Source organism: Homo sapiens, chromosome 12 (assembly GCF_000001405.40).
Source record: "Homo sapiens chromosome 12, GRCh38.p14 Primary Assembly".
Taxonomy (NCBI): Eukaryota; Metazoa; Chordata; class Mammalia; order Primates; family Hominidae; genus Homo; species Homo sapiens.
The window spans coordinates 122,164,591-122,192,424 of record NC_000012.12 but is presented as its reverse complement, the minus strand read 5'-3'; the positions used below and the strand labels follow the sequence as shown (position 1 = coordinate 122,192,424).

The window sequence follows — 27,834 nt, the reverse complement described above, 5'->3', positions numbered from 1 at the left end:
GTGGCTCACGCCTGTAATCCCAGTACTTTGGGAGGCCGAGGCAGGCGGATCACGAGGTCAGGAGATCCAGGCCATCCTGGCTAACATGGTGAAACCCCATCTCTACTAAAAATACAAAAAATGAGCCAGGTATGGTGGCGCGAGCCTGTAATCCCAGCTACTCAGGAGGCTGAGGCAGGAGAATCACTTGAACCCAGAGGCAGAGGTTGCAGTCAGCCGAGATTGCGCCACTGCACTCCAGCCTGAGCGACAGAGCGAGACTCCATCACACACACACACAAAAAAGAAATAAATTGCAGAATGGGGCTGGGAACAAGGGGCTGACTTATGAAATGCCGGGTGGCTCTCTTGTTAGGCTCAGATTTTAAGGGGGCAAGGGGAGTGTGCATGGTTGAAAATTGCTCTAGCTGCAAGAAAGAGGCTGAGCTGAAGCCAGGTCCTTGCATGAATCACCAGATTCCACATTAAGAATCTTTCTTGGCCAGCGCGGTGGCTCACACCTGTAATCCCAGCACTTTGGGAGGCCGAGGATCACTTGAGCTCAGGAGTTCCAGACCAGCCTGGTCAACAAGGTGAAATCTCATCTCTACTAAAAATACAAAAATTAGCTGGGCCTAGTGGTGGGGACCTGTAATTCCAGCTACTGGGGATCTGAGGCAGGAGAATTGCTTGAACCCAGGAGGCAGAGGTTACAGTGAGCTGAGATTACGCCATCGCACTCCAGCCTGGGTGACAGAGCGAGACTCCTCCTCAATAAATAAATTAATTAATTAATTAAAAGGATTTTCCTGGGGCCCACAAAGCAGTTCAGCCTTCACAAGAGCCCCCCATACTCCTAGGGACAGACCAGGGCACACCTCGGCCAGGACGCCCGCGGACTCATTCATTTCGCCTTCTTCATCTTTCACAAAATCATAGGTCACGTAATAGTTGTAAGTGATGAAAGGGCCTTCGGGCCTGGGTTCCGGGTCTAAGACAGAGGTGTCCAGGACTCCTCTGATGTTTCCGATGGTCACCACAAACTGCGCCTCCTGTGCCAAGAGATCTGCAGGGAGGAATGGGCAGGACAGGGGGGCCCATGGAATGGAAGTTGGCAGATAGAAAGCAAGAGGGCTGGGAAGGCACGGGTCCCTAGATTCTCTCCAGCACTCAGGGCTGAGCCTTGGTGGGGCGGTCAGGTTCATGTCACAGCTCTGGCAAGCTGGCCTGGAGTGATCCAGGTGTCATTATACCCCTCTTCAGCCTTGTTTTCCTGATCTGTATATGGGAGTGATAAGGGCTACTCTGCAGGTCACCTTAGCATTATCTAGCACGTCACAGTGACCTGGAGAAGCCTCCGGTGCACCTTGCGGCATGAACCACAAGGGGGTGATCTCAAGCCACCAGGGAGGTGAAGAAGCTGATTGAAATAACTGTCCCAAGTCCCCACAGGTTGTTTTGACTTTTTATTTTTTTTAGAGACGGGGTCTCGCTCTGTCGCCAGGCTAGAGTGCAGTGGTGAGATGATAGCTCACTGCAGCCTCCACCTCCTGGGCTCAAGTGATCCTCCCACACCACCTTTTTTTTTTTTGTCTTGCTCTGTCACCTAGGCTAGAGTACACTGGTGTCATCTCGGCTCACTGCAGCCTCCACCTCCCGGGTTCAAAAGATTCTCGTGCCTCAGCCTCCTGAGTAGCTGGGATTACAGGCACTTGCCACCATGCCTGGCTAATTTTTGTATTTTTAGTACAGACGAGGTTTCACCATGTTGGCCAGGCTGGTCTCAAACTCCTGACTTCAAGCGATCTGTCTGCTTCAGCCTCCCAAAATGCTGGGATTACAGGCGTTAGCCACCGCGCCCGGCCTCCCCCTATCACTTCTGTCTCCAAATCCCAATCACAGGAATCAAAGCCTGGTGGAAAGCTCTGACCCAGAAGAGAGGCTATACCTGAATAGGGTCTGGGTCAAATGGGGAGTTGCAGGACAGACGGGTACACGGACCCAGGAGGGCGGGGCACAGCCAGGCGCAGGCTGGGGTGTCACATGCCACCCCCTCCCTGCATGCCAGTACCCTCACCGCCATTGAGGCTGAGCCCCCGGAAGAGATGCTTCTCATTGGGAGACACGGTGATGTCGTCCAGCACGCAGAGCTGGGCCAGGCTGTCGATGGTGAGGCCGCGGTAGTAGGGCACCAAGGCCAGTGGGTTTCCCTGCAGCACCAGGAGTCGCAGGTGCCGGAGGGTCCTCAGGCTGGTGACCATGCTCTGCAGGTCTGTCAGGTCGTTGAAGCCCAGGTCCAGGGAGACGAGGTTGGGCCTGGAAGGTGAGCAGGACCGTCTGGGGGTCAAGAAGCCAGGTGAGCAGGGGGCAAGCAGCCTGTGGCCAAAACGGACGGGGAGCCTGGGGCTAAGGATTCTGCCCATCCACGGCCTGCACCCCTGTCCTACCCTTGACCCAAGTTAACCCCGGGTCGGGAACGAGTGCCTGGCTCTTCATCTCCACTCTCCGTAGCACTGCCACCCTCACAGTTGGAGTCACAGAGACGCCCCCACCGACCTCCCTTCACGGGGCTCCTCTCTTCTTGGCCAAACCTCTCAGTAGCTTCCACAGAGCCTCGCGCACTGCGTGCGTCTAGGAGGCTCTGCACAAATAGTACAGGCAGACTGGACGGCACAGCAGGGGACAGCCACCGTGGGGGAGTTGTGGACAGGGCAGGAGTGGACAGGGCAGGAGTGGGGTTGATGCTGGGGAGTGGGAGGAGGGAGCCAGAGGCTGGAGGGCTGGGCGGTCTAGAAGCAGGAGATGGCTTCTCAAAGCCAGACTGGGGCGGGACCCCAGGAGGAAAGGGGCCTGGGAGGGGCCTGCAAAGAGCACGGGCCAAGGCCTGTGGCCAGACCAAGACACAGGGCAGGGGCAGGGTGACTTTCCTGCTGCCACAAACTAGAAAGCAAATTGATCTCGGCTCTGAGAACAGAAGAAAAACACAAGCGGCCGCTGTCAGCACAGCATCTCCCAATCCCAGCCTCACTCTTCCCCTAAGAGCAGAAGAGAAGGGGAGGAAGAGGAAACCAGGGTCAGAGAGGGGGCTTCCCTTCCCTGCTGCGTCCGCCCGCTCCAGGCATGTAGAGGGTTGGACCCCCCAAGGGCATGCCCTCCAGGTTCCTCGGGGGAAGGAGAGAGGGGAGGTGGTTCTACCCCTTCCATCCTTGCTGGGCTGCTGAAGTCCTGGGACTTCTCACAGCATGTTTTGCAAAGCCTTCCTCTCCCAGCTTCCTTTGATGGCTTTTTCTGGGTGGTCTCTGATCCCCTCCTACCCCTCAGGTCCAGGATGTTAAGTTTTCTACCGCTCACCCACTGAGGAGATCAAGTTGAATATCAACTGGGAGCTGAACCATCTGCAGGCTCCTAATGAGCCTGAACCTTCAATAGCGATGGAGCGGCTGGCGCTAGGGCTTGGTTCCAGGGTGGTGGTTCTCAGCTTGGGGGGATTTTGCTGCTCAGGGGACATCAGGCTCAGACAAAAACTGTCTGGAGACATTTTTGTTTGTCACAACTAATGGGGAAGTGCTCCTGGCATCTGCGGGTGCAGGCCAGGTATGCTGCTCAATATCCCACCATGCCCAGGACAGCCCCACATCAAAGGGTGATGGGGTTCCGATGCCAACGAGCCCAAGGTGAGCAACCCTCCTCTAAAATACGGCACCAGGCCAAGTGCGGTGGCTCACGCCTGTAATCCCAGCACTTTGGGAGGCCAAAGTAAGTGGATCACTTGAGGTCAGGAGTTCGAGACCATCCTGGCCAACATGGTGAAACCCCGTCTCTACTAAAAATACAAAAATTAGCCAGGTGTGGTGGTGGGTGCCTGTAATACCCGCTACTTGGGAGGCTGAGGCAGGAGAATTGCTTGACCCTGGGAGGTGGAGGTTGCAGTGAGCCGAGATCACGCACAGCACTCTAGCCTGGGCAACAGAGTGAAACTCCATCTCAAAAAAAAATTAAAATAAAAAATTAAAATAAAAAAATTAAAATAAAAAAATTAGGCCGGGCACAGTGGCTCACGCCTGTAATCCCAGCACTTTGGGAGGCCGAGACGGGCGGATCACGAGGTCAGGAGATGGAGACCATCCTGGCTAACACAGTGAAACCCCGTCTCTACTAAAAATACAAAATAATTAGCCGGGCATGGTGGCGGGTGCCTGTAGTCCCAGCTACTCGGGAGGCTGAGGCAGGAGAATGGCGTGAACCCGGCAGGCGGAGCTTGCAATGAGCAGAGATGGCGCCAATGCGCTCCAGCCTGGGCGACAAAGCGAGATGCTGTCTCAAAAAAATAAAAAAATAAGATAAAAAAATTAAAAAATTAAAATACGGCACCAAAGCAAAGGCTCTGACTCACACCTACTACCTCTTGTTCTCCTTCCCCGGGCTTTTTGTTTACAAAATCCCACTGAAGGGGGATTCAGAGAAATAAACCATAAGTCTGGATTTAGCAGCCAACTGGGAGTTACAAAAAAGACCAAAGCTGAGTTCTCAAGCCACTGGGGTAGAATCGCCCCAACCTGATACTTAATCCCTCCCTCTCACTTTCCATCTGGGCTCCCGAGTTACCAGTGATTAGCGGTGACGTAGAGACTTTCCAAGGGGCCTAGAAGTTTGTTGTGGCCTAACCCCAAGTGCTGCAGGCCGGCGGGTGGGTGGGCACACAGACACTCCATGCTGCTGATCTCATTGCCGTAGAGCTCCAGCACCTGGGAGACCACACGGAAGGCCCGGGACGATGGGGCCCCAAGTCAGCGCTGAGGATCAGGCCCCTCCCCTCTGTCCCGCAAAACTTAGTAGAGGAATCACAAACTACTCACACCTGGCCTCCCTGGCACCACCCCGACTCCCTTTTAAAAACCCAGGAAGAAAAGATTCCTGCAGCAGGTCTTGGGAAGTTTCTTTTCCTTTTGTGAAAGACACTTCAACATCTGGAATGGGGGGTGATGCTGGATTGGCAGTGGGGGAGCTGCATAACATCTGGCACCTTCTCAACCCATAGGAATGCGTCTCTGGGAGGCCAAAAGGGCTCCTAGATGGATAAGGAATAAATCCAAAGCTAACCTTCCTTGCTTGTAGTTCTTATCCACGGCCTCACCCACCTTTTTTTGTTGTTGTTTGCTTGTTGGTTTGGGTTTTTTTAATTTTTATTTATTTATTGTTTATTTATTATTATTTTGAGGTGGAGTCTCGCTCTGTTGCCCAGGCTGGAGTGCAGTGGCACAATCTTGGCTCACTGCAACCTCCGCCTCCTGGGTTCAAGCGATTCTCCTGCCTCAGCCTCCTGAGTAGCTGCTATTACAGGCACCAGCCACGACGCCTGGCTAATTTTTGTATTTTTGTAGAGGGGATATTCCTATGTTGCCCAGGCTGGTTTTGAATTCCTGAGAACAGGCAATCTGCCCACCTCAGCCTCCCAGAGTGCTGGGATTCAGGCCTACTTCATTCCTTTCTATGAGTGAATAGCATTCTATTGAATGGATAGACCACTTTGAGATGGAGTCACTCTGTCGCCCAGACTGGAGTGCAGTGGCACAGTCTCGGCTCACTGCAACCCTTGCCTCCTGGGTTCAAGCAATTCTCCTGTCTCAGCCTCCCAAGCAGCTGGGACTACAGGCGCATGCCACCACACCCGGCTAATTTTTGTATTTTTAGTAGAGATGGGGTTTCGCCATGTTGGCCAGGCTGGTCTCAAACTCCTGACCTCAGGTGATCCACCTGCCTCGGCCTCCCAAAGTGCTGGGATTACAGGTGTGAGCCACCGCGCCTGGCCTGTCCACATTTTTTTGTTTATCCATTCATCTGTTTATAGACCCTTGAGTTGTGTCCACCCTTCTGCTATTGTGAGTAACGCAGCTCTGAACTCTGGAGTACAAGAATCTGGCTAAATCCCTGTCTTCAGTTCCTTCATGGATACACCTAGGAATGGAAGCACTGGGTCATATGGTTATTCTATGTTGAACTTTTCTAGGAAAGTGACCTACATTTTAAAAGCCTGGAGCTGGGCCTTACCCTCCACCCATGCTGGCCACACTATGTGGGGCAGGGTAAGGCAAGGCCTCTGGGCAGCGGAGGCCCAAATACTCAACACAGACCGGGGCTCCTTCACCTTGAGTGTGGGGGGCAGATTGGTGGCATCCACCTCCTTGATTCGATTGGCGCTCAGTACCAACTCCTCCAGCTTTAGAAATTTCAGGAGGTCTTTATCCACCAGGGTGACCTGGAAGAGGGGAGAGGAAGCTGAGGGCTGTAGCAGGAGAGGGAGCACGGGCACAGAACCCATGTCCACATTAGGAAGACAGCGGCTCCTCCATCAGAGTTACTTCCCCTCCCTTCCCACCCCCTGCTCCCCGGAAGCCGTTCCTGCACTGCATCGCTCTGCCAGGATCCAAGAGCCTCTCCCAACCTCCATCCTTCCTCTGACCATAGGTGGTGCATGATTTCTAGGCCAATGACCTGTGTCCTTTGTTGGACCATAAGCCACCTGCGAGGGCAGGAACCTCTCTCCTTTCTGTCTACCCCAGAGCCACAGTGAACTCTGGGCACTGAAGTCAGTCAAGGTGTCCAGGAATCACCCAGAGCAGGGTCCGACCAGAAGCTGCAGTGACCCATCCGTGACTCCTCAGTTCCTGTGACCTCAAAGACATCAGGGCCCTTCCCAGCGGGGCCTCGCTTCTCCAGGGCCACCAACTGTGCCAGTCTGTCCAGGACACGAAACCTTCTGCACTGAAACTGAAAGTCCCTGGCAAACTGCTACCAGTCAGTCACCCTATTTGTCCCCTAGTGCCGTGTCACTTCCCAGTGGCTCTGGAAAAAGAAAGCCAAGGGTTGGGAAGGCTGAGACCAAGTTTCCAGGCAATTTTTGGGCTGGCTTGCTGGCTTTATTTATTTATTGAGACAGAGTCTCACTCTTGTTTGCTTGCTTGCTTAATTGATTGAGACAGGGTCTCATTCTGTCACCCAGGCTGGAGTGCAGCGGTGCGATCATGATCACTGCAGCCTCTACCTCCCCACCTCAAGTGATTCTCCTGCCTAAGCCTCTGAGTAGCTGGGGCTACAGGCGTGCACCACCATACCTGGCTAAATTTAAAGATGTTACAGAGGTGGGATCCCACTATGTTGCCCAGGCTGGGCCTCTAACACCTAGACTCACACGATCCTCCTGCCTCAGCCTCCCAAAGTGCTGAGATTACAAGCACCAGAGAGCCACCATGCCGAGACTGGGCTCTGCTACTGATGTAAACAAAGAATGCTTTTTGGTAACAAATTAAAATAGAACTACACCAACCTTCCCCTACCCTGACCCCCACGGTTTAAACGAAGTAAAACTAACACAGACCCTTCAAAAAACCTTTACTAGGACCCAGGAGGGTCCACTGCAGAACTCAGGGGTGGAAGCTGTGCCATGATGGCTTCCAGGGGTAAAGGAAGAAGAAACGCAAGGCTGACCGAGTAGCCGGCCCTGCCTGGCACACAAGCCAGGGAGATGAAGCAGATGGAGGGCAGGCTGGCCTTCGTTTCAGCCCTGAAAGCAGGATCCCTGACGCGCTGTGGGGAAGGGTGCCCTCCCCACAACCTCCCTTAGGGGAGCGGCCACCCTAACATCACCTACCACGTGCCCAGCACTGACCTTCTTGTCTATTACCCGCAGGGACCGGAAGTAGGAGTAGAAGAAGGTGTCTGTGATCGTCAGCGGGTTCCGGATGGCCAATTCTCTCAGGAAACTGTCTTCTGCATTCGAGTTGTTCAGCAGAGCCCAGGGGGAGTGGCGGCTGCGGACCAGGCCCAGCAGGGCCTCCACCGTCTCCTCTCCGGGGCTCACCACATCCTCCTCTCTGGGGACAAGCTCCCTCCAAGTTCGCCAAGTTTGAGGAAGAAAGCGCGACTTATTCTGCAGTGGCAGAGGAGGGATTTTCTGTAGGTGTGACACAGCCCCCTTAAGGACACCAAACTCTCAAAACAGAACAGATCATAAAACTGGACGATTAGGGATAGAGTTTAGAAATCTAGAGAGTAGGCCAGGTGCGGTGGCTCATGCCTGTAATCCCAGCACTTTGGGAGGCTGAGGCAGGCGGATCATGAGGTCAAGAGATCGAGGCCATCCTGGCTAACACGGTGAAACCCCGTCTCGACTAAAAATACAAAAAATTAGCCGGGCGTGGTGGCACGCAACTGTAGTCTCAGCTACTCGGGAGGCTAAGGCAGGAGAATCGTTTGAACCCGGGAGGCGGAGGTTGCAGTGAGCCGAGATCACGCCACTGCACTCCAGGCTGGGTGACAGAGCGAGACTCCGTCTCAAAAAAAAAAAAAAAAATCTAGACAGTGAATAATCAATAATTTTGATGGATTATTAGCCATGGATATAACTACAGATGAGGTGAGATACAAAATAATTAAAAGGTGCCATTCCTTTTAAAAAGGCAGGTGGATCACTTGAGGTCAGGAGTTTGAGACCAGCCTGGGCAACATGGTGAAATCCTGTCTCTACTAAAAATACAATAATTAGCCGGGCATGGTGGCAGGTGCCTGTAATCCCTGCTACTTGGGAGGCGGAGGTTGCAGTAAGTCGACATCGCGTCACTATGCTCCAGCCTGGGCAGTAAGCCTTCCTGGGCCACACCTGGGCGCCCCTCGTGGTTGAAGCCACGGGAGGGAAGGGTCTAGGACTCTGGAGACAGGGAGGCAGGATGGGGGGTAACCCCTTCTCCTGGACTCAAGGTCGCAGGCTTCAGGCTGAGCCACCTCTCACACTGCCTCAGGCTCTTATTAAATGCTCGGAGGCTGGGAAAAGTTGTGGAACTCTTTGCCCAAAACAAAAGCTTTTCACCCCAAAAGGAGCCTGCCCACTAGAAATCTGGGGTGTTGACGTCTTCAAGTCAGGGAGAGGCCCCAGCCCAGGTCAGCTGATGTGCTCAGGACGGGCCCCGCTCTCCTCCCCGCGCAGTGCCCGCGACTCGGGCCCCACCGTCACCCTCAAGCCCCACCCGCCCCCATGTCGGCGGCCCCCAGAATGCGCAGATCCCAGGCCCCAGGGACCAGCCCGCTCCGCTCGCCCGGGCCCGTGCCTCCCCGCAGCCGGTCCAGGCCCCCAGAGTTCCGGCCCCGGCGCCCGCACCCAGCTGCCGGCACCGCACGGGAACTCGCGCAGACACAGCTTCCGCAAGTGCTCGCGCACGGCCGCGCTCACGGTCCCGGTCCCGGGCCGCTGAGTCCCAGGCCCGGCCTCAGACTCGGACTCGGACTCGGACTCGTACGACGCCTCCATGGCCCGGGCCGCGTTGCCCGGCAACCGCTAGGACGCGTGCGCGGGGGCAGGGGCCTCTCCAGGCGCTCTCACCTGCCCCGAGGGAAAAGTCCCCCATCCGGATCAGACAGCCTGGCCCCAACCACCTGCGTTTTCTCTTCTGCCCTCATCTATAAAAATGGGATAACAGCTGGTGGTTCTAAGTGCGGCAGCTCCCGCAGGCAGTAAGCGCCATAGCTGACCTGTTTCTTAGCTCCTGTCAAGCACTCCCCACGGAAAGTCATCCTATACCCATCTGACAGATGGAGAAAGGAGAAGAGGGCCCAAGGTCAAACATCTCGACTCCAACCAGCCAGTGGGTTCCAGGGTGGTCTCTCTAACCCTGGAGTCAGGGATTTTATCACTGTCCACCTGTATAACTGTTTAATCACCCAGACCTCATTTTTTAAATTTTTTATTTATTTTATTTTATTGAGACAGAGTCTCGCTCTGTCGCCCAGGCTGGAGTCCAGTGGCGAGATCTCAGCTCACCGCAATCTCCGTGTCCCGGGTTCAAGCGATTCTCCTGCCTCAGCCTCCCGAGTAGCTGGGATTACAGGCGCGCATGACCACTTCCGGCTTTTTTTTTTTTTTTTTTTTTTTTGAGACCGAGTTTCACTCTTGTTGTCCAGGCTGGAGTGCAATGGCGCGATCTCGGCTCACTGCAACCTCCGCCTCCCAGATTCAACCGATTCTCCTGCCTCAGCCTCCCGAGTAGCTGGGATTACAACCGCCTGCCACAACGCCCCGCTAATGTGTATTTTTAGTAGAGACGGGGTTTCACCATGTTGGCCAGGCTGGTCTCGAACTCCTGACCTCAGGTGATCCACCCACCTCGGTCTCCCCAAGTGCTGGGATTACATACGTGAGCCACCGCACCCAGCCTAATTTTTTGTATTTTAGTAGAGATGGAGTTTCACCATGTTGCCCAGGTTGGTCTCAAACTCCTGGGCTCAGGCAATCCACTGGCCTCAGCCTCCCAAAGTGTTGGGATTACAGGCGTGAGCCACCACGCCCAGCCATGAAGCTTCTTTTATAAGGACATTGATCCCATTCCTGAGGAGCCCCCAAACTTAATCACTTCCCAAAGGGCCCCACGTTTTAATACTATCACACTGGGCATCAGGTTCTGACAAATGAATTTTGGAGGAACACATTAACATCTCTCATTCTTTTTGACTATACGATATCGGGACAACTTTACTGTTATTAGAAAAATTAGGCTGGGCGCGATGGCTCACCCCTGTAAACCCAGCACTTTGGGAGGCTGAGGTGGGTGGATCACCTGAGGTCAGGAGTTCGAGACCAGCCTGATCAACATGGTGAAACCCCGTCTCTACTAAAAATACAAAAATTAGCCAGGCGTGGTGACACATGCCTATAGTCCCAGCTACTTCGGAGGCTGAGGCAGGAGAATTGCTTGAACCCAGGAGGCGGAGGTTGCAGTGAGCCGAGATCACATCACTGCACTCCAGCCTGGGCAACAGAGTGAGACTGTCTCAAAAAAAAAAAAAAATTTATCCAAAACTGGGAGTTAAGGCAAAAAGATGACCATATGTCCTTTCTTTTCCTTTTTTTTTTTTTGAGACGGAGTCTCCCTCTGCCGTCCAGGCTGGAGTGCAGTGGTGCAATCTCGGCTCACTGCAAGCTCCGCCTGCCAGGTTCACGCCATTCTCCTGCCTCAGCCTCCTGAGTAGCTGGGACTACAGGCGCCCGCCACCAAGCCCGGCTAATTTTTTGTATTTTTAGTAGAGACGGGGTTTCACCGTGTTAGTCAGGATGGTCTCGATCTCCTGACCTCGTCATCCGCCCACCTCAGCCTCTCAAAGTGCTGGGATTACATGCATGAGCCACCGGGCCCAGCCAACCATATGTCCTTTCAAAGAAGAAAATATCCTTTTTTTTTTTTGAGGCAGGGTCTCCCTTTGTTATCCAGGCTACTGTGCAGTAGCGTGATCACAGGTCACTGAAGCCTGGACCTCCTGAACTGAAGCGGTCCTCCCACCTCAGCCTCCTGAGTGGCTGGGACTACAGGCATGCATCACCATGCCTGGCTAATTTTTTTGTATTTTTAGTACAGATGGGGTTTCGCCATGTTGCCCAGGCTGGTCTCGAATTCCTGACCTCAAGTGATCCACCCACCTCAGCCTCCCAAAGTGCTGAGATCACAGGCGTGAGCCACCATGCCTGGCTCTCAAAGAATAAAATAAATATCTATGAGTCCATAGTGATATAAATAAATCAAGGAGATGAATCACAGATATGGCTCCTGCAATTTTGATGGAGCAACAGATGGACAATGTGCAGTGAAGGAAGAGAAGACTGAGAGGGGAAATCAAGCATCCTGTTTGGAACAAGTTAAGGTCCAGATGCCAATGGGCGTCTACTGTGTCAAATCAGCCATTGGTTAGGAGTAAGAGCTCAGGAATGAGGTCAGGTCTGGGCAGACCACAGAGCCCAAGATACACAGAAGAGGCCCAGCCAGGAAGCCCTTCCACCCTTCATCCCAAGTCCCCCTGCAGCCAACACTGTCTCTTTTCTCTTCCTTCTCATCCAAGCTTCTTGACACAGTGGTCTATACTCACTTTTTCTTTTTTTCTTTTCTTTTGAGACGGAGTTTTGCTCTGTTGCCCAGGCTGGAGTGCAGTGGCGCAATCTTGGCTCACTGCAACCTCCGCCTCCTGGGTTCAAGCAATTCTCCTGCCTCAGCCTTCTGAGTAGCTGGGATTGCAGGCTCCCGCCACCATGCCCAGCTAGTTTTTGTATTTTTAGTAGAGACAGGGTTTCTCCATGCTGGTCAGGCTGGTCTCGAACTCCTGACCTCAAGTGATCCACCTGCCTTGGCCTCCCAAAGTGCTGGGATTACAGGTGTGAGCCACTCGCCCCTGGCCTATGCTCACTTTTTCCTCACTTCCCAAACCACCACAATATAACTGCCACACCAAAAATTTATTCAAACTCTCCCAGCAAAGTTTCTGTGACCTCATGTTGCCCAATCTAGTGAATCTCCTCAGCCTTTATCTTATTTGACCTCTTCATGGCTTTTGATGATGCCAACCATTTCCTCCTTGAAAAACTGCTTTTCATCTTATTCCATGACAACATGTATTTCTGGTGTTACTTTTCTTTCTCTCTCTCTTTTTTTTTTTTTTTTTTTGAGACGGAGTCTCACTCTGTCACGAGGCTGGAGTTCAGTGGCGCAATCTCGGCTCACCGCAACCTCCACCTTCTGGGTTCAAGCAATTCTCCTGCCTCAGCCTCCTGAGTAGCTGGGACTACAGACACGCGCCACCACACCCAGCTAATTTTTTTGTATTTTTAGTAGACAGGGTTTCACCATGTTGGCCAGGATGGTCTCGACCTTTTGACCTCGTGATCCGCCCGCCTCGGCCTCCCAAAGTGCTGGGATTACAGGTGTGAGCCACCGCACCCAGCCTTCTTTTTCTCTTGAGAGTGCCTTCTCCATGTTCTAGATTAAATCATCATCTTCTCCTTGTCCTGTTAATGGAAGCATGTCCCAGGGCTCCACACGACTTCCACACCTCACACTGCTCATCTCTTACTGGCTTACAGTTTTATCTGCCACAATACCTTGATGGCACCCACATTTACATCTGTAGTTCCTTCCTACACGCTTCAGATCCACACGTCCAACAGCCTACTGTGTGTCTTCAGCTGAGCATCCATAACACTTCCCATTCACTGTGTCAAAAGCTGAATCAGGCCGGGCACGTGGCTTGCACCTACAGTCGCAGCACTTTGGGAGGCCAAGGTGAGTGGATTGCTTGAGCCCCGGAGTTTAAGACCAGCCTAGGCAATAGAGGAGGATCTTATTTCTACAAAAAGTTAAAATTAAAAAGTTAGCCAGGCCTGGTGGTATGCCGTGTGCCTATAACCCCAGCTACTCAGGAGGCTGAGGCGGAAGGATCTCTTGAGCCTGGGAGTTTGAGGCTGCAGTGAGCTGTGATCACACCACTGCACTCTAGCCTAGGTGACAGACTGAGACCTTGCCTCTTAAAGAAAAGAAAACCAAACCAAACCAGCCAACCAACAAGCAAAGAGCCAGAATTCATCACCTCACCCGAGCCCCAAAGGCCTGAGGCCTGTGATCCTCTTCGTTTGTACCAATATCATTTATCCAGTTGCTCAAACCAGAAACCCAGAGGTTGTCCTCAACTCTTCCCTCTCCACCATCCCCATATCCAATCAAACACCACCCTGGCCAGGCACCATGGCTCACGCCTATAATCCCAGCACCTTGGGAGGCCGAGGCAGGTGGATCACAAGGTCAGGAGTTCAAGACCAGCCTGGCCAACATGAAAAAACCCCATCTCTACTAAAAATACAAGAAAAACAAACAAACAAAAAAACGCCAAGAGTGGTGGCTCACGCCTGTAATCCCGGCTACTCAAGAGGCTGAGGCAGGACAATCGCTTGAACCCGGGAGGCAGAGGTTGTGGTGAGCCGAGATCATGCCACTGCACTCCAGGCCAGGTGACAGAGCAAGACAATGTCTCAAAAAAAAAAAAAAAAAAAAAAAAAAAGAAAGCCACCTCTTACGTATTTTTCCTCCTAAACATTTCTACAACCCATCCACACCTCTTCATCTCCACTATCACTATTACCCTCTTCTCACCCTCACCTTTGGGCATGTTGATTTTGAGGTATCACTGGGACATTCAGGTGGACATTTAGGTCTGGAGTGTGAAGGAGACAGACAGTAAAGTGTGAGGAATCCAGATCACGGGTGGACACCGTGGAGCTAGGGAGAGGGGCAAAAGGGATCAGGATGACGTTGTTACAGGAGAGGTTGTTACGAGAGGTTGTCAAGAAGGTGGAAGTGGTTGGCAATGTTTCATGCTATAGAGGGGTCATGTAAAATGAAGGCTGAAACCCCAGTAAGGCTGACATGTGGTCTCTGGGTACTGTATTAGTTCTCTATTGCTGCCATAACAAATATCACAAACAGCAGTTTAAAACCACAAATGCAGCCAGGCGTGGTGGCTCCCACTTGTAATCCTAGCACCTTGGGAGGCCAAGGTGGGTGGATCACTTGAGGTCAGGAGTTCAAGACCAGCCTGGACAACATGGCAAAACCCTGTCTCTACAAAAAATACAAAAATTAACCAGGCATGGTGGCACGTACCTGTAATCCCAGTTACTTGGGAGGCTGAGACAGGAGAATCTCTTGAACCCAGGAGGCAGAGGTTGCAGTGAGCCAAGATCATGCCACTGCACTCCATCCTGGGCAACAGAGCCACACTCCATCTCAAAATAATAAATAAATAAATAAATAAATAAATAAATAAATAAAACCACAAAGGTGGCCAGGCGCAGTGGCTCACGCCTGTGATCCCAGCACTTTGGGAAGGTGAGGCAGGACTGCTTGAGCCCAGGAGTTCAACACCAACCTGGGCAACATGGTGAGATCCCATCGCTACAAAAAATAGAAAAATTAGCCAGGCATGGTGGTGCAGGCCTACAGTCCCAACTACTTGGGAGGCTGGGGTAAGAGGGCTGCTTGAGTCTGGGAGGTCAAGGCTGCAGTGAGCCGTGATCACACCACTTCACTCCAGCCTGGGTGAGAGAGCAAGATCCTTTCTATTAAACACACACACACACACACACACACACACACACACACACACACTTTCTCTCTCATAGAGTTTGTAGGTCAAAGTCTAGCATGCCATGGATAGATTCTTTGCTCAGGAACTCACTGAGCTGAAATAAAGGTGCTGGCTGGCTAGGGTTCTCATCTAGGTCTCAGCATCCTCTTCCAAGCTCAGTGGTTATTGACCAAATTATTTCCTTCTCGTGCTTTCCACGCTGCCCCCCACCATCTTCAAGCCAGCAACAGCAGGTGAGCCCTTCTCTTGCTCGTAATCTCTCTGACTTCCTCTTCTGCTTTATGGGCTCATGGGATTGCATTGGGGAGGCCCAGGGAATGCAGGAAAATCTCTCTATTTTAGGTAAACTGAATAGTAATCATGACTACATCCACAAAACCCCTTTTGCCATGCAATGCAACATAATTATGGCAGTAAACACCTGTGGATGAAGGTCATGCCTACCATGGACTCTGCTAGAGGATATTGATTACATTAGTGGGGTGGTGAAAGCCATATTGTGGCAGTTTGGGAAGTAAAGAAAAAGTCAGTGGTGGCTGGCGGCAGGGGGACTTGGGATGATGGGTGGGAGGGCTTCCTGGCTGTGTCCCCTCTGTGCACCTTGAGTTCTGTGGGCTGCCCAGACTGACCTCATCCCAACATGGTGAAACTCCATCTCTACTAAAAATACAAGAATTAGCCAGGCATGGTGGTACATGCCTGTGATCCCAGCTACTCAGGAGGCTGAGGCACGAGAATTGCTTGAACAGGGGAGGTGGAGGTTGCAGTGAGCTGAGATTGCGCCACTTCACTCCTGCCTGTGCGACAAAGTGAGACTCTGTCTTAAGAAAAAAAAAAATGCTACTACTACTAATAAATAAAGTTCATCAGGGCTAGGCATGGTGACTCATGCCTGTAATCCCAGAACTTTGGGAAGCCAAGGTGGGAGGATCGCTTGAGATCTTCTCTCCAAAAAAAAAAACAAAACAAAAGACAAAACAATTAAGAAAAGAAAAAAATAAAGTGCATCTGATCTTATGTTTCCCTACTGAAAGCCGCCCAGCACTGCCTCGTCACATGTGGAATAAAACCCAGGCTCTTTGTCCCAGCCTCAGGCCTCTGTGATGGAGCCGCTGCCCACCTCCCCACTACCCTCCTGTCCTCTCGCGTCACTGTGGCTGCCATGACCCTCTTCCCGTTCTAGGAACAGCATCGAGCTCATTTTCACCTGAGGATTTTGCACTCCTGTCCCGTTGCCTTGGAACACTCTTCTCCCAGGTCTTCCCACAACTGGCTCCTTCTTGTCTTTCAGTCTCTTCTTCAATGTCACCTCTCAGAGAGACTTTTGCTGATCACCTGACTTAAAGTATCCTGCCCGTCACTCTCCAACCGTCACAGTGCTTTCTAGCTTATTTATGAATGTTGTTGCTATTGTCCGCAGCCCACAGCAATGACGGGCCCACAAGGGCAGGAACTCTAACTTCTTCACCGCTATTCCCGATACCCTATAAAATGGCCTGATCAAAGCTGGCACTAAAATATGAATAAGGAGGCCGGGTGCAGTCGCTCATGCCTATAATCCCAGCAGTTTGGGAATCTGAGGCGGGCAGATCACCTGAGGTCAGGAGATAGAGGCCAGCCTGGCCAACATGGTGAAACCCCGTCTCTACTAAAAATACAAAAATTAGCCCGGCGTGGTGGTGGGTGCCTGTAATCCCAGCTTCTCGGGAGGCTAAGGCAGGAGAATCGCTTGAACCCAGGAGGCGGAGGTTGCAGTGAGCCGAGATCGTGCTATTGCACTCCAGCCTGGGCAACAAGAGCGAAACTCTGTCTCAAAAAAGAAAAAAAAAAATTAGCATAGTGATTTGTGCCTGTGGTCCCAGCTATTTGGGAGGCTGAGGTAGGAGGATCACTTGAGCCCAGGGGATCGGGGCTGCCGTGAGTTGTGATGATGCCACTGCACTCTGGCCTGGGTGACAGAATGAGACCCTGTCTCAAAAAAAAAAAAAAAGAAAGAAAAAGAAAGCTAATGAACTTAGAAATAGTTTCTAAGGCCAGAGTGGTGGCTCGCACCTGTAATCCCAGCACTTTGAGAGGCGGAGGCAGGTGGATCACAAGGTCAGGCGTTTGAGACCAGCCTGGCCAACATAGTGAACCCCGTCTCTACTAAAAATACAAAAATTAGCTGTGCGTGGTGGTGGGCGCCTGTAATCCCAGCCACTCAGGAGGCTGAGGCAAGAGAATTGCTTGAACCTGGGAAGTGGAGGTTGCAGTGAGCCGAGATTGCGCTACTGCACTCCAGCCCAGGCGACAGAGCAAGACTCTGTCTCAAAAAAAAAGAAAGAAAGAAAGAAAGAAAGAAAAGCAATAAAGTTTCTAGGCTGGCGCAGTGGCTCATGCCTGTAATTCCAGCACTTTGGGAAGCCGAGGCAGGCAGATCACCTGAGGTCAGGAGTTAGAGACCAGCTTGACCAACATGGCGAAACCCCATTTCTACTAAAAATACAAAAATTAGCTGGGCATGGTGGCACGTGCCTGTAGTCCCAGCTACTTGGGAGGCTGAGACTGAGGCATGAGAATTGCTTGAGCCCAGGAGACAGAGGTTGCAGTGATCACGCCACCGCACTCCAGCCTGGGTGACAGAGCAAGACTCCATCTCAAAAAAAAAAAAAAGAAAAAAGATATGAACAAGGATTTCAAGCAATAACTCTGGATCACAGTCTCTGGTTCTGGGCCCTGAGATTGCAGAGGCACGATGGAGAGTCCAGTGATGTCCAAGGCCACATGGAGTTGAGATGAAGCCTTCGACCCGCCACATTCACAGCAGTTATGGGGCCGTCCCTGCACACCGGCGTGGGCATATGCTGCAGAAATTTCCAGAGATACCGCATTCTGCACATCTCATGCCGGCTTCGCATTTCCTCCCCAGAAATTCCCTGTGGCCGCTGGCCTTGAACTCCTGGAAGTCACCCGCTCCTTGGTGGTATGGTCGTGTCTGTCAACCCTGGGCTTCAAAATTTTGTCTAGTCAAATCAACAGGCTCCTTCCAAGAAGAATGGCAAAGATGCATTCATGTGCCTTCTTGTGAAGTATGTGTGTGTCTGAGTCAGGCATCTGCCCACCTGGAGGGTAACCTCAGCATTTCCATTCAGCCCTTTCACTCAGCCGTGGCCAGTAGAACTTTTGAGTGTTTTCTGGAGAAAAGCTGAGTAAATGGTTTTGCCATGGGCGGGACGCTGACTGCTCTTTCTCCTCACCCTGGCCCTTTATATACCTCCAGGCAGCCATGGCGAACACATCTGGCTCCAGAAGCCCCCACTGAAGCTGGCCTTGCTCTCTCTCGCCATGGCCTCTCACTCAGGTATCACTGGTCCTGGTGCTTCCGGAGTCTTGGGCATCATCTTATCTCACCAGGAAGATTCTGGAAGCACTACCCCCAGGGTTGGCTCAGCAGGGCTGCAGGGATGGAGCCAGGGTGGGCAGGGGTGTGTGATGTATGCGCTCACGGCATCGTTCTCTCTCCAGGCCCCTCGACGTCTGTGCTCTTTCTGTTCTGCTGCCTGGGAGGCTGGCTGGCCTCCCACACGTTGCCCGTCCGTTTACTACGACCAAGTGATGATGTACAGAAAATAGTCGAGGAATTACAGTCCCTCTCGAAGATGCTTTTGAAAGATGTGAGTGTCCTAGAGATTTCTTTTCTAAACGATTTCTTAAAAATGCCTTCCATTGCCCTCCAAAGAGGCTCCTCTCTCCGGACCTGAAACCAGGGCTGTAGCTATGCCAGGAAGGGATGGGGGAAACTAGACAGGCAAAGATGGCTTTTTTTTTTTTTTTGAGACAGAGTCTTACTCTGTCACCCAGGCTGGAGTGCAGTGGTGCAATCTTGGCTCACTGCAACCTCTGCTTCCTGGGTTCAAGCGATTCTCCTGCCTCAGCCTCCCGAGTAGCTGGGACTACAGGCATGCGCCACCACGCCCAGCTAATTTTCATATTTTTAGTAGAGACAGAGTTTCTCCACGTTGGCCAGGCTGGTCTTGAACTCCTGACCTCAAGTGATCCGCCTGCCTTGGCCTCCCAAAGTGCTGGGATTACAGGCGTGAGCCACTGTGCCCAGCCAAGATAGCTTTGATCAAACAAACAAATGCCCAAACTTGGAAACAATTCATAAAATTGGCATTACTCTTCTCATCTGCCTTGGTATTTAGACCTTAGCCTTGGCTTTTATAAAAGGCAGAGGTTGTTACCAACCCAAGATGACTGGGCAGTTCAGGTTGATGAGGTGCTGCTGGCAATTTGGTCTGACTCTAGTTAGTACTTAGAAAGAGGAAGGGAGGGAGTGGTCCGGACTCCTTGGTTTGTTGGGGAAAACTCTCGCCTGCATCTCGGAGGCCTTTCCGGACAAGCCTAACACTCTCCTTTATAAGTGGAGCGTGCGTGGCTTTAACACAGAGTCCCAAAGGGCGGGGAGCTGCCATGGAAGGCCAGATGTGCTGCAATTCCCACCACCCTGAGCACGTGAGAGTGGGTTCTGGAAGGCTGGGAGGCCTCAGCTGGATGGATCAGTGGTTCTGAGCACAGGCTTCAGGACTGCAGCCACCTAAGCTCTAGTTTCATCTGGAAATGGGGTTGGTGATGGCACAGCCTCATAGGGTTGTGACATTGATCAGATAAATATATCAACGAGGCGGGTTACGGAGGAAGCATGCAAACATTCACTGTTAAGACTTGCAGCTGTCATTGCAAACCCAACACTGACCATTTCTCCTCATTCCACAGGTGGAGGAAGAGAAGGGCGTGCTCGTGTCCCAGAATTACACGCTGCCGTGTCTCAGCCCTGACGCCCAGCCGCCAAACAACATCCACAGCCCAGCCATCCGGGCATATCTCAAGACAATCAGACAGCTAGACAACAAATCTGTTATTGATGAGATCATAGAGCACCTCGACAAACTCATATTTCAAGATGCACCAGAAACAAACATTTCTGTGCCAACAGACACCCATGAATGTAAACGCTTCATCCTGACTATTTCTCAACAGTTTTCAGAGTGCATGGACCTCGCACTAAAATCATTGACCTCTGGAGCCCAACAGGCCACCACTTAAGGCCATCTCTTCCTTTCGGATTGGCAGGAACTTAAGGAGCCTTAAAAAGATGACCGACAGCTAAGTGTGGGAACTCTGCCGTGATTCCTTAAGTACATTTTTCCAATGAATAATCTCAGGGACCCCTCATATGGGCTAGTCCCGGGAGGGCTGAGATGTGAATTTGTGAATTACCTTGAAAAACATTAGGTTATTGTTATTAGTCTTGGTATTTATGGAATGCTTTTCTTCTGCAGGCTTAAGTCTTACTTATTATACCCTCGTGAGGGTGGGAGGTGGCAGCTATGTTAATTTATTGATATTTATTGTACTAAGAGTTGTCAATGCTCCCTGGGGGAGCCCTCGGAATCTATTTAATAAATTATATTGAATTTTTCTCATAATCTGTGACACATTTTGTGAGGGGCTTGACATTGGCAAATGGGACTCCAAGCTGGGTAGAGTTGTGGCAGAGGGCAGATGGACATGCTCTAGAAAGAGGTATCGCTTCTACCACTGTCATTTCTTCCCACTGGACGGGCTCAATAAAAAATAATGACCCTGAGCCAGGCACTGTGGCTCACACCTGCAATCCCAGCACTTTGGGAGATAAAGGCAGGAGGATCACTTGAGCCCAGGAGTTCCAGACCAGCCTGGGCAACATAGTGAGACCCCATCTCTATTTAAAAAAAAGAAAGAGAAAAGAAATAATGACCCTGGTGGTACACGGTGGCTAGTTTCGTCTGGAAATGGCGATGGTGATGGCCACAGCCTCATAGGGTTGTAACACAGATCAGATATCCCAGCACTTTGGGAAGCTAAGGCTGGAGGACTGCTTGGGGCCAGAGTTTCGGACCAGCCTGGGCAACATAGCAAGATCCCATCTCTAAAAAAACCAACCCAAAACAAAACAAAAAAATTAGCCAGACATGGTGGTGTGCTACTTGGGAGGCTGAGGTGGGAGGATTGCTTGAGCCCAGGAGTTCGAGGCTGCAGTGAGCTAGGACAGCACCACTCACTCCAGAGACAAAGCAAGACCTCAGCAGCAATAAACACTCATTGAGCATTTTCTTTATGCCAGGTCATGTTAAGCACCATCCTCTTTTCATAGGTAGGGAAACTGAGGCAGGAAGTCAGTCAGTCACTTGCTCAAGGCCACACAGCTGTTAAGGGGTGGAGCCCAGTTTCCAGCCTGAGCTTCTCTGCCTTACTCAGGCTTTGACCCTCCCCGGGCAGTGGTTGGGCCTCACAGGCTGTCAATGCCAGGCGCGGCATGCAGCAATCTTACAGTGTCCTCTGCACAACTCCCCACTGGGTTTTCAGGGCCTAGGGGACTTCTTCCTAGCCAGGTCCAAAGATTTTGTCATTTGAATCAATGTTAAGTCCACAACTGTTAAGGCTTCTTAGAGATCACCCGGACTCAAAACGTGGTCCCTGGCCCAGCAGCAGCAGCAGCAGCCCGTGGCAACATTTTAGAAATGTCAATCATTGGGTCTCACCCCAGACCTACTGAATCGGAAGGTCTGTGGGTGGAGACAGAAATCTGGGCTTTATGGGGCCCTCCAGGGGATTCTAATACACCCTCAAGTTTGAGAACCACTAATCTTGAGTCTACCAGCACCTATATATTCATCTTATCTCGGGGGAAACTGAGGACCGAAGAGGTGTGGTTTGCACAAGTCCATATGTAAGGAGGGATGTGGTTAGGACTCTGAGACACGCACTTCAGTCTTGGACTTCTCATTTTTATTCTCACAGGTATTTCTACTGCAGCCCCTAGCAGGCTTTTTTGTTTTTTTTCCTTCGGAGAGTCTCACTCTGTCACCCAGGCTGGAGTGCAGTGGTGCAATCTCGGCTCACTGCAAGCTCCGCCTCCCAGGTTCAAGCGATTCTCCTGCCTCAGCCTCCCAAGTAGCTGGGACTACAGGCGCCCGCCACCACGCCCGGCTAATTTTTTGTATTTTTAGTAGAGACGGGGTTTCACCGTGTTAGCCAGGATGGTCTCGATCTCCTGACCTTGTGATCCGCCTGCCTTGGCCTCCCAAAGTGCTGGGATTACAGGTGTGAGCCACCGTGCCCGGCCCCGTAGCAGGCATTTAAGCCCCCAGATATCCTAGTTTCCAATGACAAGGTTTTGGTGATCTTTCCAGAAAATATCCAGTGTGGTGGACTTCTATCTCTCTTTTTGACTGTCCTACATCAGAACACCTTTACACATATTAGAAAAATTATCTAAAACTGGGAAATAAGGCAAAAAGATGACCTATGTCCTTTCAAAGAATAAAGTAAATACCCACAAGTTCATTTTGATATAAACAAATAGTTGGGCCAGCCGTGGTGTCTCACACCTGTAATCCCAGCACTTTGGGAGGCTGAGGCAGGAACATCACTTGAGGTCAGGAGCTCGAGACCAGGCTGGGCAACATGGCGAAATCCCATCTCCACAAAAAATACAAAAACTGGCCAAGTGTAGTGGTGCATGCCTGTAATCCCAGCTACTTGGGAGGCTGAGGTACCACTTGCTTGAACCTAGGAGGTGGAGGTTGCAGTGAGCCAAGATGGCGTCACTATACTCCAGCCTGGGCAACAGAGTGAGACCTTGTTTCAAAACAACAACAACAAACAACAACAAAATAAATGGTTGACAAGATAAATAAATTAGGGAAAAGGTTCAAATGTTCCTTATAGAATTCTTTTTTTTTTTTTTTTTTTTTTTTGAGACGGAGTCTCGCTCTGTCGCCCAGGCTGGAGTGCAGTGGCACGATCTCGGCTCACTGCAACCTCTGCCTCCCGGGTTCACGCCATTCCACTGCCTCAGCCTCCAGAATAGCTGGGACTACAGGCGCCCGCCACCACGCCCGGCTAATTTTTTTGTATTTTTAGTAGAGACGGGGTTTCACCGTGTTAGCCAGGATGGTCTCGATCTCCTGACCTCGTGATCCACCTGTCTCGGCCTCCCAAAGTGCTGGAATTACAGGAATGAGCCACTGCGCCCAACTAGAATTCTAATTAATAAATCATAAATATAGAAGGAATGAGGGAAATAGAAAATCATCATTAGAACACCACAGTAATAACTGCCTCAGGCAGGATCCACAGAAGAATGCTGAAGTTAGCAGGTGAAACTTTAAGGAGAAACAGGAAATCTGCATAGCCTCAAAGAATCTCCCTTCAAACCATGGTGGTGGCTTTAACATATGTCCACAAATCTTCGATATTCCTCCCTCCAGGAGGTGGGGCTTAACTTCCCTCATCTTGAAGGCGGGTGGGACTTGGTGACTCCCTTCTAAAGAACAGAGCACAAGAGGGAATACGGTAAGGTGGCAGGGGAGATGCATCTCAGACACCACCTCTGGCCAGTGAGCCCACGCTTGGGTATCACGCACCCCTCACATGACACAATGAGAAGGTACCTCCCTCACTTCTCTGTGATCTTCCAAAACCACCATCCCAGTCCCATCAGGAGAAAACACCTGCCAAGCCCAACCTAGGGTCAATTCACAAAATCCTTGACTGGCACTCTTCAAAAGTGTCAGGGTCATGAAAAACAAGGAAAGGCTAAGAAATGGTCACAGATTGAAGACTAAGGAGATACAAGCACTAAGCACAATGTGGGAACTTGGACTGACTCTTGGACCAGAAAACAGACATTAGTGAAAAAAATGGAGAAAATTCAGACAGTTGGTAGTTTAGTGATTAATATTGTATGAGTGTTAATCGCTTAGTTTTTATAAACGTGCACAGTTACTTAACAAATTCCCACTTAGGGGAAGCTGGGTGAAGGGTATATAGGAACTCTCTGTACTGTCTATAAATTTTCTATAAATCTAAAATTACTTAAAATAGGTCAGGTGCTGTGGCTCACCCCTGTAATCCCAGCCCTTTAGGAGGCTGAGGTGGGTGGATCACTTGAGTGATCAGCTCGAGACCAGCCTGGGCAACATGGCGAGATCCCAACATGGTGAGAACCCACCTCTTTTTTTTTTTTTTTGAGACAGAGTTTTGCCTTTGTTGCCCAGGTTAGAGTGCAATGATGCAATCTCGGCTCATTACAATCTCCACGTCCCAGGTTCTAGCAATTCTCCTGCCTCAGCCTCCCAAGTAGCTGGGATTACAGGCATGCACCACCACGCCCAGCTAATTTTTATAGTTTTAGTAGAGATGGGGTTTCACCAGGTTGGCCAGGCTGGTCTCAAACTCCTGACCTTGAGTGATCCGCCCACCTTGGCCTCCCAAAGTGCTGGGATTACAGGCGTGAGCCACCACACCCGGCCTTCCCACTTCTATTTTTTTTTTAATTACTTAAAACATTTTTTTTTGCCAGGTGTGTTGGCTCATACCTGTAATCCCAGCACGTTGGGAGGCTGAGGCTGGTGGATCACCTGAGGTCAGGAGTTGAGACCAGCCTGGCCAACATGGTAAAACCTCATCTCTACTAAAAAATACAAAAATTAGCCAGGTGTGGTGGTGCACACCTGTAGTTTCAGCTACTAGGGAGGCTGAGGCAGGAGAATTGCTTGAACCCGGGAGGCAGAGGTTGCAGTGAGTGGAGATTGCACCACTGCACTCCAGCCTGGGCAACAGAGTGAGACTCCATTTCAAAAAAAAAAAAAACTTTTTAAAAAAATTCAGTTTCTCAGTGTCACTCACATCTTGCGTGCTCGACAGCTGCAGTGGCTAGTGGCGACCTCATTGGATAGCACAGACAGAATATCTCCATTACCGCAGGAAGTTCTATTAGATGGCATTGTTCTCGGAGAATGGAACTTTGGCATTGTTCTCAGAGAATGGAACTTTGTTTGACGTATTATATATTATTCATTAGGCCCCAGGGTCTTTGAACTTAGAGAAAACAGATAAGATGCAAATGATCTCTACCCAGTAGAGAAGATGACTCCAAAGGTTATGGTTGTATTTACTGTAGGGCATGAACCACTTTCGCATCTAACAGAGCTGTTTGATTCTGGCATTCTTTATCTTCACTGACAACAGACAGACAGACAGATGAGAAACCAATACTAGTCTCTCATCTCCTCCTTTGAATCAGCTGTGTTACGCTGATTCCCTCAACACCGAGTTGAATAAAAGCTTGACATGTGCCCACTCTGGGTAAGGGTTGTTTGGTGGGCAGAGGGACCTGCTGTCTGCTGCAGAAACTGAAATGCAACACTTGTCTTCCCAGCCTCCCTCTTAGCTAGGTTGTGGGCCTGAGACCGCGGCAATGCAATCAGACTTCAAATCAGACGCTGGTGACACAAAGCAGCGGAGATGGTGGCAGGTGCTTCGTTGCACGGAGAGGTGGCAATTGCAACAAGATCCCCTCTCTGGAGGAACAGGGGCTGAGCTCTCAGTGGCCGCCTGGTGCCCCCCACCCCAGACGGGTTCCCATGAGCAACAGGCTCACAGCGATTCTGCGAACCACCTGGTCTCCTTTAATGAATTCCCATTCTGATCCAATCTGCCAGAAGAGTCATTTAATGCTATTGGATTGATGGATTGACCAAGGAGCTCCCGCAGATCTAGCGCAGGCTCAGCCTTTCTCCTTCTGTCACTGAAAGCCCGCAGTTCTGGAGATGACTCAGCCACGGGCCGGGGGACTCCGCTGCACTCTTCTCACTAAAACCACCGCACTGCTCTTACAGGGAGAGGAAACCTTTAAAGTTGCTAATTTCTCCTCTCCTTCCAGGTCCTTGGATGAAGAGGCAAACCCGCTAACCAAATGCTCCGTCGTCCTTTGGGTAGAGCATGCAGGCTTCATTCTGGGCTGCAGGGCCAGCTTCACGAGCCTGTGACCTACTCAGTCATGGGGCCCAGAGCTCAGAGGGCCCTGAGCTTGTTTTCACCCTCTGTTCTCATCACTGTCTTGAAATGCTTAGTGATTTCTAAACAAAGTACACAGCCGGTACTGCTGAGAGGGAGGTGAAATGCAGATTCCTAGGCTTACACCCAGAGGTTCTGATTTAGTAGTTTTGGCTGGGCCCTGGAATCAGGTTTTTTTTTTTTTTTTTCTTTTTTTTAACAGACTCTTGCTCTGTCACCCAGGCTGGAATGCAGTGGCGCAGTCTCGGCTCACTGCAGCTTCTGGCTCCCAGGTTCAAGCAATTCACCTCCCTCAGCCTCCTGAGTAGCTGGAATTACAGGTGCGTGTCACCATGACCAGCTAATTTTTCTATTTTTAGTAGAGATGGAGTTTCACCATGTTGGCCAGGCTGGTCTCAAACTCCAGACCTTACGTGATCCACCCACCTCAGCCTCCCAAAGGGCTGGGATTATAGGCATGAGCCACCGCGCCCAGCCTGGAATCAGTATTTTAAACATTTTTAAACATATAATTTATATACTGTAAAGTTAGCCCATTTAAAGTGTATAATTGGGCCAGGTGTGGTGGCTCACATCTGTAATCCTAGCACTTTGGGAGGCCGAGGCAGGCGGATCACTTGAGGTCAGGAGTTCATGACCAGCCTGGCCAACATGGGGAAACCCCATCTCTAATACAAATGCACAAATTAGCCAGGCGTGGTGGCCTGTGCCTATAATCCCAGCTACTCAGGAGGGTGAGGCAGGTGAATTGCTTGAACCTGGGAGATGGAGGTTGCAGTGAGCTGAGATCATGCCACTGTACTCCAGCCTGGGCAACAGAGCGAGACTGTCTCAATAAATAAATACATACATACATACATACAGTTTACAATTGGATGTCTTTTGTGTTTGTTTTGTTTTTTTATACAGATGAGGTCTCACTATGTTGCCCAGGTTGGTCTTGAACTCCTGGGCTCATGCCTTCCTCTCAGCTCACTCTCCTGAAGTGCTGGGATTATAGGCAAGAGCCAGCACACCCAGCGACAATTTGATGTTTTTAAAGATATTCGCAGTTGTGCCACATCACCACTATCTAATTCCAGGACATTTTTATCATCCCCAAAAGAAACTCTGTACTATGCTGGGAATGGTGGCTCATCTGTAATCCCAGCACTTCGGGAGTCCGAGGTGGGAGGATCGCTTGAGCCCAGGAATTCGAGACCAGCCTGGGAAACACAGCAAGACCCCATCTCTGCAAAAATAAATAAATAAACCTCGTGCCCATGGGCAGACGCTTCCCATCCTTCCCTGGCCTCCGTCCCTGGTAACCACTAAGCCACTCCCCGTCTCCATGGGTTTGCCTGTCTGGCCATTTCACATACATGGAATCAGACAACATGTGGTCTTTTGTGGCTGTTTCTTTCTCGTAGCATGGTGTCTTGAAGGTTCACCTGGGCTGCAGCCTGTGGCAGCGCTCCCATTCATGGTGCTCGCTGTTTTTGGCACAAGACCCTGAGGCCTGATGCAGGGGGTCTACCCGTATGGAAATGTTTGCCTTGATGCCTGTTTTCCCCACAGATTCTCAGAAACAAGAAAAATGTCAAAGGGAGATAGGGAAGGAGATTAGGGGCAGACATTTGTATGTAAATCAAGATCACCTCCCACAACATATGCAAGAGGAAAAAATCTAACTCATATTTGCCTTTCCCGAAAGACGCAGCATGGGACAGAACCCACCGCAGGGGTGAGTGTGATAACTCCTAAGTTACCTGGAACGCAACTAGCACAAACTCTCAAGTCACTAGAATTTATGTTGATGATAATCCGCCAAAACCTAGAAAGAGGCAAAAAGGACTGGGCACAGTGGTTCACGCCTGTAATCCCAGCACTTTGGAAGGCCAACGCGGTTGGATCACTTGCTGTCAGGAGTTCAAGACCAGCCTGGCCAACATGGTGAAACCCTGTCTCTACTAAAAATACAAAAATTAGCCAGTCTTGATGGCGGGTGCTTGTAATCCCAGCTACTCAGGAGGCTGAGGCGGG

The 27,834-nt window shown here is 50.9% G+C and overlaps 2 protein-coding genes across 13 annotated transcripts in view, besides 6 other annotated features; one reads left to right on the top strand and one right to left on the bottom strand.

Moving 5' to 3' along the window:
* The window catches only part of LRRC43 (leucine rich repeat containing 43), a 35,753-nt gene extending 11,047 nt beyond the window's left edge, over positions 1-24,706 (bottom strand). For 4 of the 12 annotated variants that reach the window (NM_001098519.2, XM_047428663.1, XM_047428660.1 and 1 more), the window contains exons 1-6: positions 9,131-9,302; positions 7,646-7,906; positions 6,125-6,235; positions 4,585-4,724; positions 2,057-2,295; positions 858-1,045 (exon numbers count right to left, since the gene is read on the bottom strand). In NM_001098519.2, the coding sequence (NP_001091989.1) occupies positions 858-1,045; positions 2,057-2,295; positions 4,585-4,724; positions 6,125-6,235; positions 7,646-7,906; positions 9,131-9,280 (1,089 nt within the window). In that variant the 5' untranslated portion in view covers positions 9,281-9,302. The other 8 variants (XM_017019124.2, XM_047428662.1, XM_047428659.1 and 5 more) reach the window with 6 other exon arrangements.
* Positions 7,512-7,581: an enhancer, noted in NCBI's record as "active region_7209". NCBI's record gives its function as "activates an Ori minimal core promoter by ATAC-STARR-seq in GM12878 lymphoblastoid cells {active_cell/tissue: GM12878}" and the evidence as "EXISTENCE:reporter gene assay evidence [ECO:0000049][PMID:35858748]".
* Positions 9,175-9,274: a silencer, noted in NCBI's record as "silent region_5010". NCBI's record gives its function as "represses an Ori minimal core promoter by ATAC-STARR-seq in GM12878 lymphoblastoid cells {active_cell/tissue: GM12878}" and the evidence as "EXISTENCE:reporter gene assay evidence [ECO:0000049][PMID:35858748]".
* On the top strand, positions 18,204-20,396 carry IL31 (interleukin 31). The gene is made up of 3 exons (NM_001014336.2): positions 18,204-18,268; positions 18,433-18,581; positions 19,684-20,396. Exons 1-3 carry the CDS (start codon positions 18,253-18,255, stop codon positions 20,011-20,013), a joined length of 495 nt encoding a protein of 164 aa, NP_001014358.1. The 5' UTR covers positions 18,204-18,252; the 3' UTR covers positions 20,014-20,396.
* Positions 25,309-25,911: an enhancer, noted in NCBI's record as "H3K4me1 hESC enhancer chr12:122651061-122651663 (GRCh37/hg19 assembly coordinates)". NCBI's record gives its function as "activates a minimal SCP1, AML or CMV promoter by ChIP-STARR-seq in primed H9 embryonic stem cells {active_cell/tissue: H9 hESC(primed)}" and the evidence as "EXISTENCE:reporter gene assay evidence [ECO:0000049][PMID:30033119]".
* Positions 25,466-25,555: an enhancer, noted in NCBI's record as "active region_7208". NCBI's record gives its function as "activates an Ori minimal core promoter by ATAC-STARR-seq in GM12878 lymphoblastoid cells {active_cell/tissue: GM12878}" and the evidence as "EXISTENCE:reporter gene assay evidence [ECO:0000049][PMID:35858748]".
* Positions 25,606-25,655: an enhancer, noted in NCBI's record as "active region_7207". NCBI's record gives its function as "activates an Ori minimal core promoter by ATAC-STARR-seq in GM12878 lymphoblastoid cells {active_cell/tissue: GM12878}" and the evidence as "EXISTENCE:reporter gene assay evidence [ECO:0000049][PMID:35858748]".
* Positions 26,336-26,385: an enhancer, noted in NCBI's record as "active region_7206". NCBI's record gives its function as "activates an Ori minimal core promoter by ATAC-STARR-seq in GM12878 lymphoblastoid cells {active_cell/tissue: GM12878}" and the evidence as "EXISTENCE:reporter gene assay evidence [ECO:0000049][PMID:35858748]".

Coding starts and splice junctions, on each gene's coding strand:
- IL31 (NM_001014336.2), top strand. Junction 18,582..19,683: donor CGAAGATGCTTTTGAAAGAT/GTGAGTGTCCTA, acceptor CTCATTCCACAG/GTGGAGGAAGAGAAGGGCGT.